This window comes from Homo sapiens, chromosome 17, assembly GCF_000001405.40.
Source record: "Homo sapiens chromosome 17, GRCh38.p14 Primary Assembly".
NCBI lineage: Eukaryota > Metazoa > Chordata > Mammalia > Primates > Hominidae > Homo > Homo sapiens.
The window spans coordinates 37,231,557-37,249,067 of NC_000017.11; the positions used below are offsets into that span (position 1 = coordinate 37,231,557).

General features: G+C 39.4%; 1 protein-coding gene and 1 non-coding gene across 27 annotated transcripts in view; one reads left to right on the forward strand and one right to left on the reverse strand.

Moving 5' to 3' along the window:
* Positions 1-17,511, reverse strand: part of ACACA (acetyl-CoA carboxylase alpha) — a 321,845-nt gene that overhangs the window by 146,565 nt on the left and 157,769 nt on the right. For all 26 annotated transcript variants that reach the window (XM_011524701.2, XM_006721853.2, NM_198834.3 and 23 more), the window contains 9 exons: positions 17,037-17,118; positions 16,455-16,600; positions 15,270-15,420; positions 13,524-13,658; positions 13,032-13,178; positions 11,815-12,003; positions 10,397-10,497; positions 8,920-9,008; positions 3,419-3,543 (listed from right to left, as the gene is read on the reverse strand). In XM_011524701.2, coding sequence (XP_011523003.1) covers positions 3,419-3,543; positions 8,920-9,008; positions 10,397-10,497; positions 11,815-12,003; positions 13,032-13,178; positions 13,524-13,658; positions 15,270-15,420; positions 16,455-16,600; positions 17,037-17,118 — 1,165 coding nt within the window. The remainder of the gene's footprint in view (positions 1-3,418; positions 3,544-8,919; positions 9,009-10,396; positions 10,498-11,814; positions 12,004-13,031; positions 13,179-13,523; positions 13,659-15,269; positions 15,421-16,454; positions 16,601-17,036; positions 17,119-17,511) is intronic.
* Positions 13,245-13,419, forward strand: SNORA90 (small nucleolar RNA, H/ACA box 90). The gene has a single exon (NR_132772.1). It is a non-coding gene; the product is annotated as a small nucleolar RNA, H/ACA box 90 (small nucleolar RNA).

The window sequence follows — 17,511 nt, forward strand, 5'->3', positions numbered from 1 at the left end:
GTCAGGTTAAGTGGAGGAAGGAAAGGTGCTGATCAGCATCATAAATTCTCCCCATCTAAACCAAATCAGGGGTTCATAGGCATGGCATTACTCATACAGAAGCATGGTTTATAGCATGTTCATGTGGACCGTATCAAAAATAAGTTACAAGTAGTGAGGGGAAGACTACTTACCATCAAGGTGGCTAGAAGATATGTACATTGCCATCTAGACAGCTATGAAGATGTTGATACTTTGTATTTGTACCAATTAGCTTAATCTGGCTAAAGATTAAAGAGTTCCTTAAATATCTCTAAGCAAACATAAACAATGTTCTGAGTTCTAAGCTTTTTCCTATAAAGTTAAATTTAAGAAATAAGAAGAGCTTTCAAAAAATAAATGTACTATTGGTCTTCCAGACTTTGTGTTAAATTGTGTTACAATGTCCCTTTAAATGGAGGAAACCTGATAGGACTTTAGCCTTTTACCTGATACTTTGCTTTCCAGACAGAGTGAAAGATTACCAGAAATCTGCTTGAGAGTCCATGAGGCAAGTTACCACTGGGCAGGTTATGCTAACACCTGGAGAGGATGAAGGTACCTCTTTACTAGAGCAACGCATATCCCATGACATTGACTCACGGAAGCCTGAGTTTCTTGATACCTCCCTCCCTGTAGGTTCAAAAGCCCCAGAAATCATCATCTAGCTCAGCAAAGCATACTATCAACATTCCTACTTCTAGAAAGCAGAGAATGGAATACTGGGCACATAACCATCAATCAGGAAGCCAAGATATGCAAAGAAAGGGGAACCAGCAGAGAACACAAGCTGGGGGAGTCAAAGTGCTACCATGTGCAGGTGACATCTGTAAAAGATACTAAGATCCGAGGAAAGAATAATCCAAACAACCAAAATGGCTCTTACCAGCTACTACCATTAATGCAGATGTGGGAGAGGAGGAGGGAGAGGAAGAAGGAAGGGGGAACAGCTAAGCGTTGTCAAAGAGGAAAAGAGGAAGACATGTCTGGCATTCAGTAACATCAGATCAGAAAAGAGCACCGTCTTGAGCTTTTACCCATGTTCCATAAGTCACTGCTAGCTGGCCCTGAGCTTGATCATATCATTAACTTCTTGATTTCCAAATCTCTAAGATGAAATGAAAACAACTGATATTTGAAAAGAAATTAATGACATGAAAGCTTAGAGATCCTCTTACGTTTACTGGGTCTCATTTTGTTTTTGTTTTTTTTTTAAAGAAAAATGTAATGACACCAAAATAAAGAAAGGGACAAATCTGGCTTCCTGGTTCACATGTTCAACCGTCCTTATCCTCCTCCTCCTCCTCCTCCTCTTCCCATCCCCCTTGTCCTCCTCCTCCTCCATCCTATTCACCCAAACTCAAACTCTGAAACAGCTCTTTTCCCTAAAGAGCTCAGCCTGTTGGAAAGAAAGTCTGGGTACTATCCATGCAGGTAAGAAGTAATCAGGATGACAAGGTGGGAGAAAAAAAGAACAGCGTGGAAAGTCAGAGTCCCATTGGCTTCTGCCTGTCCTGACTGGCAAAAGCAGAAAGCAAAGCCTCAAACCAGTTCTCTGACAGGGCCCAACGCCTCTGCAGCACCCCCCGCGTAATTACACACTTGAGTGACTGGACTCTGAAGAAAATTGAAGGCCTGAGCTCCGAACAGCTGCCATTTTCTCTCTCCATCACACCAGCGTGATTACTTGAGAAATGAACAGCCCTGGCTCAAAGCTACTCCAGAATTCTCAGAGGAAATATGGCTCCGTGTTCCAATAATGAGATTCTTAAGGCAAGCGTTACTTACAATCACTCCGCAAAAGGAGCGAGCTGAGCCCCTATATCTTACAAATTAGAATTTAAGAAACCCAGCGACAGTCTTGGACAATCATTACTCTTCCGCTGCTCCAAGGATTCTAGGCTTTGGTCTATTTTTAGTGCAGAAAACTGTTAAGTTCTTAAAAACGTAATCACAATAAAAAGAAAAACTCACCATAATTAGCTTCCTATAAAGGCAAATTCCACCCCATTCTAGGTCCAAACTGACAGATTCTCCTACCCTCCTCATCATTACCCTTTTCTGACAGAAAGTCTTGGCTTTATCCAAATGAGATTTAACAATCCTTTCATTAAATTAAAAAAAACATCTAAATAGTCTTTCTTCCTTCTTTTGACTGACAAAAAAAATTAGCAAGCTGCCATAGATTGTATCATTTCTTAGCTGAAACCTGTCACTTGGGGGAAGTTGAAGTATTACATTGTACTAACATATATATTTTTCCCTCTCAACTGCATCTTTCTCGTTTCCCTACCATCTAGCTATTCTAGGGTAGCAAAGGCAATGAACTCTCCCTATAATTACATATTTTTTAAAGTGGCTATTCTAAAAAATGTGATACGCTTTAGAGTTAACCAGCTAGGCATATAACTGAATGAGTGGCACTCTTGTTAATCAGAGGTGTATGGTAGATAGTTTCCCTTCATTCTGAAGAAATAAAAAATAGCATGAAGATGTATGTTTTTTTCCTCCATGAAAAAATGATGTAATTAACTTACCAAGAATCCCAATTCCACAAAGAGACAAAAAGAAAACTCTAGGAGTGAAAAGGCACTACAGTCCCCAAAAAGACAGGCATGCAGCAGCAAGGCAAATGCTCAGGACCATGGGGTGAGGGACTCTAGGAGTAGTCCTACTGTACTAATTCCTACAACTAACTCAACCAGAATGAGCTAGGAGTGAAGGACTTGCAAGTCATCTTTAAAAATCCTTCAGCCCACAAAAATTCCACCCACTGGCTGAATGCACATTAGCTCTCATCAAACTTACCAGGCTCACTCCCTATTCCTACTTCCTACTAATTCTTATTTTACTAAGTTATAGGGAAAAAAATCATACATTTACTACCAATACAATAATCCGAGCTTAGATTTTCAATATAAATAAAAAGGGACCAATGAAGATGCAGAATACATTTAAATTTCTCTGGTCAGAGAGGGGGAGTGCTGGATTTCTATTTATTTTTTTTCAAGTTTGACATGAGAGCCATTGCTTGTATCTATGGAACAAGAGTTAAAATTAGAATATATTGGCTAAATAAGATGAAATTTTAAAGCTGCTGTCATGATGACCACAGGAATGGTGAAGCACGAGGCATTTCTAAACAGAGTTAGGAGGTATAAGTTCCTGTGAATGAGTATATGCATAATGGCCAGAAGAGTCATTTTCTCACTAAAGCAGGTTCCTTCAGACCAAGGACAAAGGTAGATGTGAGAAACTGTTAATCCACAGCTCAAGCCCCATTCATCCCATAATTATAAAAGGCAGTAGTTTTTTTTCTCTGGCCATAGCCATCAAAAGGAAAAAAATACTTTTTGCATATCATTGACGGTCTTTACAAGTTCTGAAAAATGGTACTCACAATAAGCATTGTGACCAGAAGATTCTTCTTGGTGACTTGAGCGTGAGAGAAGATGTAGTTCAGTACAGTGTTCATGTCACTTTTATTCTCTTCTCGGAGGGCGAATACACATTTGTCATAGTGACCTGCACACCATGAAAAGAACTGGTTCTCACCCATGTATAAATGTTCACATTTACATGCTATTTGTTTTGTACTGTCTATAATTTATGAGACGAGCAGTGAGAAGAAACATCATAAGGATTTTCTTGGATGGATTTGTACAGAAACTGGCAATGTGATTTAGTAAAAGGAACACTGGACTAGGAGTCAGGCAATTTGGATATAAGATCTGGGTTCAAGGCCTAGTTCTATTAGCAATTTACTGTGTGCTCCTGGGAAAATCATTTTACCTCTCTGGGCCTCAATTTCATTAAATTTTTTAAAAATTGGGGAGGTGGGTGTACCTTAAAGACTGAAAGATTGGGAATAACTCAAACCCCAGTCTTACTCTAAACTCTCTCATGATTTCTTTAGACGAGAAATTTCTGTTTAAAAAGAAATGTAAATATCATTAAACTTGATGATCTTTAAGGTCTCCCCCAGAGCTTGAGATTCTGATTCCATGTTTGACTTGCAGAAAATAGTTGACCCTAATCAGTAGGAACAGTTTTAGCTCAAAAAATAAAACCACACCAAACTTAGCAATATCCATGAGAAGTGTGACTGCTACCCCTGGAATCAACATTTTCTTCTGTTAGTCCTTGAAACAGCTAAGCAATGCCTAGGAACGCCAAATCCAACCCAAGGTATAGATCAAGGAGAACCTTGCATTAAGTCAAAAGGTCTGTAGGGAGACTAAAGTTATGCATATTTTCACTTGCCTTCCCTAAGGCCACCAGGGGCAGGTTAGTTCTGAGTAGGAAAGCTATGTTTTACAACAGAAGCATAAGCCTCTGGTACACTGTAGTGATATCTGCCATGGGATATAAGTAATATTCAGTTCTTTAGAAAACAGCTTACCTCAGAATTAAATTTCCAAGTAAAGAGGAATTAGTGTTTGAATATTCTCAAGGGTCAGAATTTTATGAAATCATGAAAACAGTAAAGGATTATCACCTCAGTTCAGATTCCACGTTAAGTTACAAACCAGAACAGTGACGTTCAAACTGCATTATCATGGTTTCCTAGAACACTGAGTACACTGGACCAGTGTAACCAGGCTTTTAATTATTCTAAATATTAGAGATTGACATAAGCAATTTTTTTCCAAATAAAATTATATTTGAAAAACAATGGACTACAATATCGAGAGAGCTGCCAATTTCATAAAAGACACATTTAGACCAAAAGGGAAGCTGTTTAAAAATTAGCTGTTCTGCATTAATATTTTTCTCTACCAAGACTTAGCTTTGAAGTGACAACACAAATAAACTTTGGCAATAGGACCAGGGGAAATAAAAAGAACACATTTACCCGGGGTGAGGGGAGACATTAACAGAAAGAAAGCAATGATACTTTCTTGTTTTTTTTTTTTTTACTTTGAAGATCCTGCATACCAAGACACTCTTTTTTAAAAACACTTAATTGGCTGGGTGCGGTGGCTCACCCTTGTAATCCCAGCACTTTGGGCAGCCAAGGCGGGTGGATCACTTGAGGTCAGACATTTGAGACCAGGCTGGCCAACAGGGTGAAACCCCATCTCTACTAAAAATACAAAAATTAGCCAGGCATGGTGGTACACACCTATAATCCCAGCTACACAGCAGGCTGAGGCAGAAGAATTGCTTGAACCCAGGAGGCAGAAGTTGCAGTGAGCAGAGATTGCACCACTGCACTCCAGCTTGGGTGTCAGAGTGAGACTTCATCTCAACAAAAAAAGAACACACACCAAACAAAAAACAAAACAAAACAGTTTAATTATGAAATATATATACAGAAGAATATATAGAATATATGGTATCAGTTGAAATAAACACCCATGTGTTATTTTAAAGCCATTACATTTTAATAGAACATCTCTAGTATCTTTGAAGACCCCTGCGTACCCCTCCTCAGAAACAACTACTAAGCTGAATTTTATGTTAATTATTCTTTTGTTTTTCTTAACTTTTATCACCAATGTATGTATAGCTTAATTTTCCTGGTTTTTGAACCTGAAAAAAATGGAATCACTGTACCATTTCTTTTCCTTAACATTGTATTTTTGAGATTCATCCTTTTGTTCAGTGTATGCCTTGGTGCATCCATTTTCACTGCTGCATAGTAATCCATGGTAGGAATATACCAGACTTCAATGATCCACTCTACCTATGTATATTTAGATTGTTTCTTGTCTTTTTTAAGATTATGAACAGTGCTGTCACAAATACTCCTGTATATGTATCCTAGTAAACATGTGTAATAGTTTCTCTAAAGTATATTTTCTAGGAGTAAAATTACTAGGTTAAAGAATACAAATAAGTTCAACTTTATTAGGTACTGACCAACTGTTACCAAAGTGGTATATACCAATTTGTACTTCCATGTACAGAAGCAATGAAGATGATGATGTGACTTTTAAATTTTTGCCACTCTCATTGTGGTTTTGGTTTATATGCCTCTAATTACAAATGGGATTGAGCATCTTTGTGTAAGTTTATAAATTATTTGTACTTCTTCTTCTGTAAAATATCTTTCTATATCTTTTGCCCATTTCTCTATTAGGATGTCTTTAACTTGATGATTCATACCAATTCTCTAGATACTTCTAATTATTTTTTAGGTATATATTTTGTAAATATCTTCTCACACTTTGTAGCTTATATTTTCAGTCTCTTTTTTTGGAGACTGTGTCCTGCTCTGTCAACGGGGCTGGAGTGCAGTGATGCAATCACAGCTCACTACAGCCTCGACCTCCCCAGGCTCAGGCAATCCTCCAACCTGAGCCTCCCAAGAAGCTAGGACTACAGGCACATAACACTACACCTGGCTAATTTTTGTATTTTTTTAGAGACGGGGTCTTGCTATGTTGCCCAGGCTGGTCTCGAACTCCTGGGCTCAAGCAATCTGCCGGCCTTGGCCTCCGAAAGTGCTAGGATTACAGGCTTTTCAGACTCCTTATGACGTATTTTGATGAACAGAAGTTCTTGAGTGGAGTTTAAGTAATCAATCTTTTCTTTTGTAGTTTGTACTTGCTGTGTCTTATACAACAAAATCTTCCTATCCTGAGGTTATAACGATATTCTCCTAACCATTTAACAGCTTCACCTCTTTAGTACATATTTAAGTCTTTATCGGGAATTGATTTTTGTGTATAGGCATAAGATAGGGATTCCATTTCTTTCTTTCCTCTTTTTTTTTTTTTAAATGAATAACCCATTGTGCTGGTATCATTTATTGAAAAAAAAAAAATCTATCCTTTCCCCATGATCTACAATGCCTCCTCTATCATAAAATAAGTTTTCATATATGGCTGGATCTGTTTCTGGGTCATTAAGTTCCACTGATCTATAAATCTATCTCTACACCTATCTCACAATTTCTTAATTAATATGGCTTTATATTAAATCTTGATATCTGATTAGGCAAATCTTTTCACCTTGTATTTCTTTGGAAGTATCTTGGTTATTGTGAGACTTGTCTTTTATGGAAATTTTATAATTAGCATTACAAATACACTAACAGAATTTTTATTGAAATGTCAATCTACAGATGAATTTAGGAAGAATCGGCACCTAATAGTGTACATTCCAATTTAAGACCTTGATAATTTATTTAAATCTTCTTTACTATTATAATATTCTTGATTATAATTTTCCTCAAAAGAGGCTTGCACATTTTTTGTTAGATTTACTCCTTAGTATTTCATGTTTTGGGTTGCTATTTTATCAACTAATTAATTAATTATTTAGAGACAGGGTCTTGCTCTGTTGCCTGGGCTGAGTGCAGTGGTACAATCATAGCTCACTGCACCCTTGAATCCCTGGGCTCAGGCAATCCTCTTGTTTCAGCCTCTTGAGTAGGTAGGACTATAGGCATGTGCCATCATGCCTGGCTAATTGTTTTTAATTTTTTGTAGAGATGGGGTCTCACTATATTGCCAAGGCTGGTCTCAAACTCCTGGCCTCAAGCAATCCTCCTGTCCTGGCCTCCCAAAGTGCTAAGATGACAAGCATGAGCCACTACATCTAGCCTGCTATTTTAATTTTTTTTTTCCTGAACTGCTTTTCTAAACAATTGCTCTACTGTAAACAAATACTGTTGAATTTTGTATGTTGACTTTTGTATTTAGCAATCATGTTAGATTTTAAATAATTTAATAATCAATCTGTGAATCCTTTGAGGCTTTCTAAAGAGACACCCTATCATATTTAATAATGGCAGATATATTGCTTTATTACTTTCTAGCTCTTATACCCTTTAATTCTTTTCCTTGTCTTACTGCACTGGCTAGGACATCCACTATAAAGCTGAATAGAAGTAGTGACAGCAGGCATCCTTGTCTTATTCCTAATCTTAAAGATAATGTTTTCAACGTTTTACCATAATGCATGATGTATCCTGCAGATTTTTTTGTGGGTCCCTTTTACAAGATTTTAAAAGTTCCATTTCACTCCTAGTTTCCAAGAGTTTGTCATGAATGGATGTTAAATTCTGTCAAATGCTCCCTCTCCACACCCTGTTATCTTGAGATAATGAGCATGTTTTTCCTCCTTTCATCTATTTCATGATAAATTATATTAATTGACTTTCTCCAAACTGATCAACCTTGAATGCGTGGGATAAAGCCAACTTGGTTGTTATGTATTATTTTGTATGTTATTGGATGCGGTTTGCTGATATCTACATGAGGATTTTTGCTGGTCATGAGTGGCATAGGCTGCTTTTAAAGGAAGTGAAAAGGAGCAGATAAAGGAAAATGTTTCAAATTTCAGATAATGTTTCAAATTCTGTGATGTTTCACTGCCATCTTGTGGCAGGAAGCAATGTCAGCAGTAAACAGCTTTAAAATTTTAGCCAAGGTTATTTCACACTTAAGAGACAATTTATCATTTAGTGAAGCTCTTCAGAGAAAGCCAGGGATAAAGTCTACCTAAATGATATACTAAAAAGTATTGGAAAACCTGAACTTGCTCTTCCTAGATGCCTCTGGTTCAATTCATGGATTAGCTGCCAAGAATCAAGCTCTTCAGATATGGGTTTCTCAATTTCAGCCTGTGATGACTCAACCAACTTACACTACACAAGGTCAAAAAGATATCAACAGGAATGGTAATCTCTATTAGAAAAATTACTTCAGCCCTTTCTCAGAAGCACACTGGATTCCTAATTTCATCAAGCTGTGTTTCGTTGTTCTTTCTTTAGAGCTAGTGGATATAGAGGTTTAGTTTTTAAGGGAGTAGTGATAGGAGACTGTTTATTAATGGGAAGTGTTGTTGACAGGAGGGGGCTTAGCTCTTACACAGTCCTATAGGGATAGTTTGGGTTGGTTATCAGAATCAAGGCTTTCTTAGCTAGAGAGTCCTCAGGAAGAGGCTTACCATTCTGGAATTGTGTCTCTACTCGCAGGTACTGCCGGAGCAGATCCATCACCACAGCCTTCATGTGGCCTCGGATGCCACTTCGGTACCTAGGCAAATAGAAAGTCTCCACTGAAAAACCTGACAATCCAACACTATTAAGCAATAAACCCAAAGGCCAAATTTACCTCCACGACATTCCACTGAACTGCTTTCCCTCTGAATAAAGAACAGCCTAAAATGAACTACAAAATTAACTTAAATTCTAAGCCTAAAAGAAATCTCACTATAGACAAGACCTTTTTTAATAAAGAAGACAACAAAATCCTGCATAGCCCCACCTACCAACACCTTGATTCAGTTCCTACTGCTAAGTAGAAATTATTACCATACTCTTGAAATGGCTGAGATATCTGAAAAATTTATAAGTATCTTAAAGTTAAAAGTGTTCTGTGAGGCCGGTTGCCTTAGCTCACATCTGCAATCCCAGAACTTTGGGAGGCCAAGGCAGGAGGATCACTTGAGTCTAGGAGCTCCAGACCAGCCTAGGCAATATGGCAAAACCTCTTATCTACAAAAAATACAAAAAAATTAGCCAAGCATGGTAGCATGTGACTGTAGTCCCAGCTACTCAAGAGGCTGAGGTGGGAGGATTGCTTGAGCCTGGGAGGCAGAGGTTGCAGTGAGCTGAGATTGTGCTACTGTACTACAACCTGGATGACAGTGTGAGACCCTGTCTCCAAAAAAAATAAATAAATAAATAAATAAATAAATATGCTCTGTGAATATCCCTTTAGTATTAATAGCAACAACCACAATTACTTTTGCACCAACCTAATATAATAGGCTCCATAAGCTAAGAAGAAAAAATGTCATACTGGGCCCTGTGACAGAAGAAAAATTAGGAGCTTCATCAAAATGGCAAGGAAAAAGAAAACAACAAAATTTCTGTGCCTTATTAATTGACAGGCTGGACGCAGTGGCTCATGCCTGTAATCCCAACAGTTTGGGAGGCCGAGGCGGGTGGGTCATTTGAGCCCAAGAGTTTGAGATGAGCCTGGGCAACATGGCAAAACCCCAGCTCTTCTAAAAATACAAAAATTAGCTGGATGTGGTGGTGCACAGCTATAGTCCCAGCTATTCAGAGGGGTTGAAACAGGAGGATCACCTGAGCCTCAGGAGGTTGAGGCTGCAATGAGCCATGATTGAGCCACTGCACTCCAGTCGGGGCAACAGAGTGAGATCCTGTCTCAAAAAATAATAATAATAATAAATAATTGACAGAAAAAAATGTAGAATATTAAGAAGTCAGAAATATTGAGCATGAGAGTTAGCTCACAATTCTAAGATATTTAGAAAAGACAAGGTACTTTCTAAGATATAAGATGCTTTCCAATTTCTTGAAGTCAAATCTGAGGTAAATTTTTTTGTGACCACTTGAAAGAAAGGAAGACATGAGTATGGACAGGTCTGGGAATCTGGAGTTACAAGTTACTACCTCTGTACCAGCTGAACAATGCTCTGAGTATTCATAAAGAAGACTTCCCGTTCAGATTTCCGGTTCAATGTAGCTGCATGGCTATCTAGGATGTTTGCAATCTAAGGTATAAAAAAGGGAAAAAAATGAGGCCCAACCCAACAAAATGCCCCAAAGCATCAGCCTCTATAGCACGACCAGTAGGAATCTTCTTCTTATAACATGGCAGTTCCTATCTCACATGTTGGCAGCAGCTGGAAGTTACCAGGCGTAGTCTATATAGAGAATCACGCTACATAAGCAAGCAGATTTCATCCCTTGTCACCCTTTCCCAGATGAATTAATGACTACATTACAAAAACTATCATCTTACCAATATCTGTTCAAGGTCAAGATCCAAACATCACTCCCCACTTATCTACCTATATTCCCTACACATACATCTGCTTTATGGGTAAAGAGTAAAGATGCTGCCAAGGTAGTAAGAATGTCTCTGAAAATAAAACTACCAATAGGCCATGTGTGGTGGCTCACACCTGTAACCTCAGCACTTTGGGAGGCCAAGGAGGGAGGATAGCTTGAGCCCATGAGTTCAATACCAACCTGGGCAACATAACGAGACCCCCATCTCTATAAAAATTTTTTAAAAATTAGCTGGGCATAGTGGTGCACATCTGTAGTCCCAGCTACCTGGGAGACTGAGGTGGGATGAGCCATTGGGCCTATGGGGTCAAGGCTACAGCGAGCCATGACCGCACCACTGCACTCCAGCCTTGGCGACAGAGCAAGACCCTGTCTCAAAAATAAATAAATAAATAAATAAACAGCTGGGCACGGTGGCTCACGCCTGTAATCCCAGCACTTTGGGAGGCCGAGGTGGGCGGATCACGAGGTCAGGAGATCGAGACCATCCTGGCCAACATGGTGAAACCCGTGACTACTAAAAATGCAAAAATTAGCTGGCATGGCAGCGTGTGAATGTAATCCCAGCTACTCAGGAGGCTGAGGCAGGAGAATTGCTTGAACTCGGGAGGCAGGGGTTGCAGTGAGCCGAGATCAGCCACTGCACTCCAGCCTGGTGACAGAGCTAGACTCCATCTCTAAATCAATGAGTGAATGAATGAATCAATCAATCAACTAATATCACTCTATTTTCAATTCATGAAAATACCTCTAATTAGGGAATAGCCCCAGGAACAAAGCTATAAGGTATACATGATCCAAGTGTGCTTTTCTCATAACTACAGATACTTATCCTTCACATACAGTACTTTCACTGTTGGGTTTGTACCCTGAGGCAGTTTTGTGAGGAATACAATGCTTAAAAGTATACAAGCACAACATCCAAAAAGTAAGGAGGATCCAAATAGGAAGGAATCCTACAACATAAACTCTGGCATTGGTAGCCAGAAAAAAATATAGTGTTATCCTATAAATACCTGCTGGCTGGGAAACTGACAGAGGACTGATGTGATGTTGCTAGCATACTGAGCCATTTCCTTCTTGATAGACTTCTCCACATTGGGGGGAATGCGGCCAGACACACTGGTCATAATATCTTGCAATTCTAGGAGAGGCAGGGAGGGATCTCTGAGGGTTTTCATCAATCGCTCTACCCAGTCTTTTACCTAGAAAGAAAGCATTGGTAAAATAGGACCCAAGTTAACACAATCCCCCAAATAAAAAGATATATAGTTGTCATTCTGTATACGTGGGAAATTGGTTCCAGAACCACCACTCATATATGAAAATCTGCACATACTTGAGCCCTACGGAACCCATGTATAGAAATAGTTGTGGGTTCCATATCTCATCAATACTGTAATTTTGATCCATGTTTGGCTGAAAAAATCCACATATAAGTGGACCCACACAGTTCAAACCTGTATTGTTCAAGAGTCAACTATATCTGAATTCACTATCATATACTACTTCTTTTCAATAAAAATTTATATAATTTTCAATAGATATGGGGTCTTGCTATGTTGATCAGGCTGGTCTCAAACTCCTGGCCTCAAGCGATCTTTCCATCTCAGCTTCCCAAAGTGGTGAGATTACAGGCGTGAGCCAACTATCATAGAGTACTTTGAAATTGCAACGTAAGCATCTAACATTGCCCCTATTCTCCAGTTTAAAAAGGACTAATCACGGGCGGGCACAGTGGCTCACGCCTATAATCCCAGCACTTTGGGAGGCCGAGGCGGGCAGATCACAAAGTCAGGAGTTCAAGACCAGTCTGGCCAACGTGGTGAAACCCCACCTCTACTAAAAAAAAAAAAAAAAAATTAGCCGCGCCTGGTGGCACGTGCCTACAATCCCCACTACTCAGGAGGTTGAGGCAGGAGAATCACTTGAACCCAGGAGGTGGAGGTTGCAGTCAGCTGAGTTTGTGCCATTGCACTCCAGCCTGGGCAACAGAGCAAGACTCCGTCTCGAGGAAAAAAAAAAAGGAGTAATCACAATTAAATGTGAAGTCCATGACAAGGATAAGAAACATGGATTTAAAGACCTCAAGTCCCACAACTGAAGGTGAAAGAGTTCTAGGCCAAACAGCTTTCTTTTCCTCCCTCTTAAACAATCATTATGAGACTTGGAACTATTTTGGAGAATAGGTATCCCATTTGTACATCCCTTCCCCAGGAGACGTGATACATACCTTGCTGCTAAAGAAAGGATCTGGAAGGCAGTATCCATTCATTACATTGACCAGATTATCCAGGACATAATGGAACACTCGATGGAGTTTCTCGCCTCTGAGTGCCGTGCTCTGGATCCGTGGCAGACTACCTGTGTGAAGTTCAGCCTGTCAACCCCAACAAGAGATCAAGTCATCTACTACTTTTGATCTAAGGTACAAACACACCACTGCACTTAAGAGTTATCATTCAAAATCGAGACATCATACCCAGCTACCAGGAGGGAAGTCAATAGAGGAAACATCATAAGGAAATTACAGAATCTTAGTACTACAGTAACTCTTGCAAACTCTAGTTCCATAATACTACAGGCACAAATACAAGGCATAAGATTAATAGGGGACAAAGCTAAAGAAAACACTGGCAAACCAAGCATTGAAATCACTTGCCTCTCCAAACCACCAAGTTCTTTAGCTCTTAGAGAGCAATATTCGGAGCACCTTCCTACTCACCTGCTGAACCTTGCTGGGGTTGTCCAGTTGCATTTTGGCTAGTACACAGCCAGGGTCAAGAGCTGCTCCAGGTCGCTTGACGTAATGGATACAGCCAGACTCCACAGCTGTTAAGGTCATTACCATCTTCATTACCTATAGTGAAAAATAAACTAGACTCAGATTTATCTCTCTTTACACAGATGAGTGCTTAAAAGAACTAAAATTTTTCCCTTAGCATCTAAGTTGGACCACACCTAATTTGACCAAGAAAAAATGGGAATTTACCATCATCTCCTAGGGACTATCAAGGCAAGCAATTAGAAAATCTCTCAGTACCTCACTTTAGGAATTAATAACAGTTATTGACATTTCTCCTTTCTAACTTTTACAACCATTTTGGCATAATTTGTGATTATATTTGTTTTGTACTTAGAAAGTAAGGAACAATTTAATATCCTCATACCAGTGAATCCAATCTAAGACAACCAGGCCAAAACCTAAGGATCATTCTTCACTCCTCTTTCTCCCTTACCTACCAATTACCAACCCAGCCAGACATATCTTCTAAACCTTTCTCAAAAATCTTCCTCTCTTGCCAACTCTTCGGTTTACGCCTTCTTCATTTCTGGCCCAAAGTACTTCAAAGACCCCCTAAGAGATCTCCCTACTTGCTACATACCTCCCTCAAGGTCACGAAAAGCAATCTTCCTAGACCCCAAATCTCATCATACTACTTTTCCACTTAAATCTTTCAGAGATTACCTGCTGCCTCCAGGATAGTGAAAACTTACTAGTATGGTTTATAAGATCCTTCATAACCTCACATTCAAGATCTCACATTACTTCTTTAGCACCTTTGCTTGTCCCTCCCCATTAAACCTTAGTCTATTCTCAAGCCACACCAACACATACTTGCAGTTCCCTAAATACACTGTGCTGTCTTGCTTCTGTCTTTGTACATGCTATTCCTTCAACTTTAAGCACTCTTCCCTGCCCTTCTTCACCTGCTCTATCACTATCTGTCTTTCAAAACTAAGATCAAATGTCTCTTCTTTCAGAATATCTTCCCATACAAGCTTAGCTTGATTTGGGTTAGGTGACCCTCTGCACTCTATGCTTAGCTCTCTTAAAATTAATCACATGACATTTCTTGTCTGTTTTGTGCCCCACCTCCATGTATTTTCTCTGGATAGCCAGCAGTTAGGACACCTAACATTCAACAAGTGCTATTGCCTAGTATCTATTTTTAGAACTAGAGATTCCTCATTTGCCTATGTGTTTTAAAAATCTTAAGGTTCGCACTTCTAATTAAGCCAACTGATGTTTCTTTTTCATTCTTATTTCCAATCTGTTACCTTTTTTTTTAATTTTTTAGAAATAGGGTCTTGATTTGTGACGCAGGCCACAAATTGTACCACTCCAGTACAGTGGTACAATCTCCATTCACTGCTGCCTTGAATTCCTGGGCTCAAGGGATCCTCCCGCCTTAGACACCAGAGTGGCTGGGTCTACAGGCATGTGCCACTGTACGCCGCTAATTTTTTAATTTTTCATAGAGATGGGGTCTCACCATCTTGCCCAGGCTAGTCTCGAACTCCTGGGCTCAAGCGATCTTCCTGCCTCAGCCTCCCAAAGTGGTAGGATTACAGGCACAAGCCACTGTGCCCAGCCTCCTTTCTGTAACTTTTCAGTCCTAGTCCATCCCAGCCGACCCTTTTCCTACCTTCCCCTCCCATGATCCCACAGTCCTTTCACCACCCTGACCTCAATCTCAGCATAGCACTGGCCGGCAAACACATGACCTCCATCTTCTACAATGTACTGGATTAACTTCCCAGCAGAAGGTGAGCGCATCACCGATGGGTCATTTTCCTTCTCAAACACACAGGTTTTATTGCCAATTGTGATGCGATATCTAGGAGACAAGTGGAAGTATGTAAGCTAAGAAAGCACCTCAGGATGTAAAGGAGAATGGTAGAGAATGTCAACCTTCAAAGAAAAAAAATCCTGAAAACTTTATTATACACACACACAGACATATTCACTGCATATTTGTTTACAATGTCAATTAACATAAATTTCCTTCAATAAGGATCAGATTAAATATAGTATAATCATATAATGGAATACCACATGACTATTAAAAATAACAGGTACCACCATTTAAAAAAACACACACAAAGATATTGATGACGTAATAGCTAACATTTCTTGAAGCCTAGCTATGTTGTGGCAATGTTCTACACATTTTCAACATGTTAATTTATTTCATTCTCATAACACCATAACTGGTGTTGAACATTTGTGAATTTCTTTTTTTTTTGATACGGAGTTTTGCTCTTGTTGCCCAGACTGGAGTGCAATGGCGTGATCTCGGCTCACCGCAACCTCCACCTCCCAGGTTCACGTGATTCTCCTGCCTCTGCCTCCCAAGTAGCTGGGACTACAGGCATAAGCCACCACATCTGGTTAATTTTGTATTTTTAGTAGAGACAGGGTTTCACCACATTGGCCACACCGGTCTTGAACTCCCAGCCTCAGGTGATCCACCTGCCTCGGCCTCCCAAAGTGCTGGGATTACAGGCGTGAGCCACCGCGCCCAGCCACATTTGTGAATGTATTTAAAGAAAAACAGTATGTACATGAGTGTAACTTGTATATGCATATAAAATTTCTACTCAAATATGTAAGAAACTTTTAACAATGGTTACTTATAAAAAGGGGAACTTATTTTTCATTGTCCACATACACTGGAGTGGTAGGGAGACATGTTTTTAATTATAAACACTTTAATACTCTTGATATTTTTGTTAAGTGCATGTACTATTTTTTTTTTTTTTAACTACAAATGAGTACCAAGAAAAGCCTGGGAAAATCCCAAGAGCTAGTAGCTAATAAGAGAAAAGGCTAACAGGATGACCAGCAAATGGACCTCAAACAGCCACTTACCTATCCACTTCCTCTTTCATATACGTAGTATAACTGCTGCCATCATAGGACAAGAGCAGTCCACCGTCACTCAGCCGATGTACATCTACTTCTACACATGAGCCATTCATGATCACCACATAGGAGTTGGGGGACTGTCGAGTCACCTGTAGGGAATGAGAATGAGGATCAGTGTGTCCCTTCCAGGTACAGCTCCAAATGAAATTTGAATGCTTCAAAAATACAGATAAGAAAGATCTGTCAGGAGGAAGAAAATTCATGGCACTGATGCTATTTGCATCAGTGTCTGTGGACATGGCTCAGTCCTGCTGTAAGCAAAGAGGGCAACCTTAGTTGATTTTCCCCAACTGTGGTTGTTCTCTGTCTCTCCTTTATCTCTTGGCAGTGTATGTGAAGTTGAAGAACAACAAAAAAGATTTTCATAGAACAACAAACGCTGCTTCAGGACACTGACAAAAATAATGACGGTAATTTCACTAATACCCCCATCCCTGCATTAAATCAAACTTTTTCTCCTGCCTCTCAACCTAAAGAAAGATAGCTAAAAAAGTAAGGTGCAAGCTCCAATGGGGTTCTGCATACCTTAAGTACATACTTGACTCCCTCATAGATAAGTTCAACATCTACTGTATTCAGAAGTGTATGAGCAGGAAGGACTTGACCCCTGAAAGAACGATGAGAGAGGAACTTACTACAAAGTTCTAACAGTTATAAGAGAATCTAAAACATTATTGATTGTAGCATTTCCTAGAATAACAAAAGACTAGAAACAACCTAAATACCTAAATGATCGTTTGTAAGGAATTGATCACATCAATTATGAATCTTACAATGGATTTTTTTAAATTAGGGTAAAATACACATTACATTAAATTTGCCATCTTAACCATTACAAAATGCACAGTTCTATAGTGTTGGGGATATTAACACTATTCTGCAACCAATCTGCAGGACTTTTTCAACTGGCAAAAGTGAAACTCTACACCCATTAACAACTCCCAATTTCGCCCTCCCCCCAGTTCCTGGTAACCGTCATTCTACTTTCTAGTTCTATGAG